Source organism: Homo sapiens, chromosome 7 (genome assembly GCF_000001405.40).
Source record: "Homo sapiens chromosome 7, GRCh38.p14 Primary Assembly".
Lineage (NCBI taxonomy): Eukaryota > Metazoa > Chordata > Mammalia > Primates > Hominidae > Homo > Homo sapiens.
The window spans coordinates 28,851,927-28,855,858 of NC_000007.14; the positions used below are offsets into that span (position 1 = coordinate 28,851,927).

Below are 3,932 nucleotides of genomic sequence, written 5' to 3' on the forward strand. Positions count from 1 at the left end.
TCTTTGTATTTGAATTCACTTTTTTGATGCAAGAAGAAAGGGAAAGATCTTGATGCAGGAAAATGGCATTGGCTCACAGATGCTATCTGCCATGCTTTTGTGCAGCTTACTTTATAACATACATGGGGCAGGATTTCTAGACTCTACCTTTCCTCACCTAATAATTCACCCTTTCAGTCCCTGTGCACATATTTATCAAGGTTGGGAACTTTTTTTCCGATTATTTAAAAGTCGTCATTGCAGTTACTTCCTCTGAAACAGACCACCTCTTTCATTAGGAATATTTATGGGAAATAATATATTTGTACAGTTGAAAGTATCACCTGTTTTGCTAAGTCAGTTCTTGTCTGAACTCAAATATGCTGTTAGAGGGTTTACTCAACAACACTCACTAATGGAAAGCACTAATCAAAACTTTTCTACAGCAGTAAATTTTTATATTCTTTAACCACTGGATTCCAATTAAATGTATTCAATATAGCAAGCTTTGATTAAACAAATTTTTAAAAAGAGATTATGTATACAGCCCTGTGGAAAACAAGGCAGGTTAGGTATGCAGGCACTTGTATATTCTTAATAGAAGTCTTTACCTGAAGGTAAAACCCAATAAAGTGTACCCTATAATGTGCTAGAGACCCTATGTTGATTTACCTGTGTTACATCGTCAGCAGAAATCAACTTTACCAGGTACACACCATGCTTATATATTTAATGCATATAAAAATGCATATAAAAGATCCTTTTTTCTTTATATAAAGAATTACTGAATTTCATTAGGCCACATTTTTCTCTAAAAAAGTTCTTTGTTAACCATGGGATAACTGATTGCAAATAAAGGAAGTTACGGCACTGTGCCGATGTTTATAAAGGGAGGGAAAATCCTTAATGTGAGCCTACAATTTCGATGAAAAAGAAAAACCATCATAAATACAAGAGCTGGCCTTACTCTAACATACATTAGCAAGATCTTTCAAAGGATCTCCCTGCTTTCACTGACATATAAGTATTTTCCTAAATGACTCAAAAAAAAGACGTTAGGATACTTAATTGAAGTCTATAAGGAGAGGTCTGGGAATAGGAGGATGAAAATCATTTGGTTTTTGTTTTGAAAAAACAAAAAAAAAATCCATTTTTCCTCATCTGAGGATATTTAAACACAACATCTCTATACATTTTCCATAAAAATATCACAGACCTTTCATATGTCAGATTCCCCTCCCCCACTATAAGTTTCAGGATTAGTTGCAGCCTTAGAAAAATATTTAATTCTCTTTGCTCTGTGACTTGGCTTAATGAATCTAGGTTGAGTTTCTTTAGGAAATATAAGAAGCCTCTTGACAACTGAGAAGCCTCCCAGACACTCATTTCTGTCAGAGTTTTCCAAAACCACACGAATAAGCTGTGGCCAGGGAGGTGCCTACATCCGACAAGAAAAGAAGAACACGGGCTTCCTTCCCTGACCTCTGCTATGTTTGAGTGAGAAATGTGTTTATTGCTCAGTCTCACTGAGTGTTTAACTGTTCCAGTTGTGCAAATTATGAGCACTTTCAGTGAAAATTATGAGCGCAGAAGCCTTTCTTTATTATTTCCAACTGTCTGATCTGTTTTGTCCTTGTTCACCACCACCTTTGAGAATTGCAAAAAAAAAAAAAAAAACTATGCCAGTTATTTTTGTAATACTACCATTGCATTAAAACCTTTAACCATAAAGTCCTCTAGTGATTTTTCTTTCCCTCAAAATTTGTATTGCTTTTAAAAAGCATTGCATTAAGATTCTGAACGTTTAACGGAGAGAAGGGTGACATTAGTACACATCCTTTTTAAACTCCTGATTGAAACAAAACAAAAACTACGCAAAAGACCTGCTTCTTTGCCTTGGGCCCTGACTTTTTAGGGGGCAGGGTCTTCTGCGAGGGGCGGTTAAGTGGCAGGGAAGCGCAGATCCCGCTGCACGCCGCAGCAGCCCGGGTGTGGAGCGCGCAGAGGGGGCACCTCGGCTGAGTTTCGGGCACGCTGCGCACCCACGGGAGGATTTCAGGGAGGCGGTGGCCAAGTCGGGGAGCGCATGCCGGGGCCGTACTCCCTCCTGGGACAGCGAGCCTTCCGAAAGTCCGAGCCCCAAGAAAAGTTGACCCTGGGTCTGAGAGTAAGAGGGAGGAGCCGAGAGCATGGACTAGAGAGGCACGGAGCCTCCCGGGCCCTGAGGCTGCCGCCTCCCTCCGCAGCAGCCACCTCCTCCCGCCCTTTACAAAGACAAGCTCCTTGCTCCCAGGAGTCGGCCTGCCCATCCCTGAAATGTGCACGTGAAGGAGGTAGCCTTGGTAGCCAGGGAAGGTGCGGTGCCCGTGCCGGGGCCGCGGGGCGTGCGGGAGTCCTGGGCGTCGCCGCACCTGCCGGTCTCCTCTGGGAGTCCTGGGCCGAATCCTCAGTTCGGGCGCCCTCTGGCGCCGCCGTGGGGAAATCATCCGGCGCCAGGCGCCATGCCGCACAACACTGTGGAGCAGCCCTGCCGGCGGGGTGGGTGCCTCCTATCTAAGGCACTGGACCAGGGGCTCTGCCAGCAAACATGGTTCTTCCATCAGCGTGTCGGGGTTGCAGAACCTCAGGGCATGGTTTCCCTCGGCAAGGTGTTAGACGCCAATTATCTTCCCCCGACAGACTTCTGTGAGACTTCAAAGGGAAGAGAAAGGAGGATCCCAAGACTTCCAACTCCCTCTTCCTCCCTCCCTACACACGCGCGCACGCGTAAACACACCCACATGCACACAAACACACACACCCTATTCTTTACCTATCCACAGGATCTCTAACATTATTCTTAACCCCATGTGATGGCTTTTTTGATATGTCAACTTGACTAAGCTAAAGTTCCCATTGATTCACCAGACACTAATCTAGCTGTTACTGTGAAAGGGTTTGATGATGTCATTCAAGTCATTAATCAGTTCACTTTTAAGTAAGGGAGGTTATACTGGATAACTTGGGTGGGCCTGGCCTAATCAGTCGGAAGCCCTCAAAGCACAGCCAAGACTCCCCAGAGAGAGACAGAGACCGAGACAGAGAGGAGGTCACATCCATGAACAACAGCGCAGCCATGCCCAGAGCTCCATTCTGCTTTTTAGCTTCCCCTCCTGACTCCCTGTCCTGTGGACTTTGGATGTGCTTAGGCAGCTCCCACAACACCATAAGCCAATTTTTTTTTTTTTTTTTTTTTTTTTTTTTTTTTGAGATGGAGTCTTGCTCTGTCACCCAGGCTGGAGTGCAATGGCACGATCTTGGCTCACTGCAAGCTCCGCCTCCCAGGTTCACGCCATTCTCCTGCCTCAGCCTCCCGAGTAGCTGGGACTACAGGCGCCTGCCACCACGCCCGGCTATTTTTTTTGTATTTTTAGTAGAGACGGGGTTTCACCGTGTTAGCCAGGATGGTCTCGATCTCCTGACCTCATGATCCACCCCCCTCGGCCTCCCAAAGTGCTGGCATTACAGGCGTGAGCCACCGCGCCCGGCCAGCATAAGCCAATTCCTAGTAAGACATCTCTGAATGGATATATTGGTTCTGTGTCTGAGGTTGAACACTAGCTGGTACAACCCACACAATCCAAATCAGAAAAAGTATGAAGGAAATTCAGAGTGCCAGAAGATGCCACCTCATCCCTCCTATCTGTCAGTCAGTATTCTCTGAATGTCTAGCAGTGGCAGGCACAAGACACTGTACTCTGGAGATACCTCCAAGGACAGAGCACACTGGGTTTCTTCTTCGATTTGGGCTTCAGTGCCTGCTGCTAAGTTAGATGGGTGAATAAGAGAGGCAGTGGCTATAAAGGTTAGTGAAGCTCTCTCTCTCTCTCTCTCTCCCTCTGACACACACACACACCCCTCCATGTGACAACTTTGGAGTTTTTAAACCTAGACCAGAAACCAGCTTTAATTAA

General features: G+C 45.5%; 1 annotated feature.

The window, feature by feature from the left end:
• Positions 2,188-2,387: a silencer, noted in NCBI's record as "silent region_18047". NCBI's record gives its function as "represses an Ori minimal core promoter by ATAC-STARR-seq in GM12878 lymphoblastoid cells {active_cell/tissue: GM12878}" and the evidence as "EXISTENCE:reporter gene assay evidence [ECO:0000049][PMID:35858748]".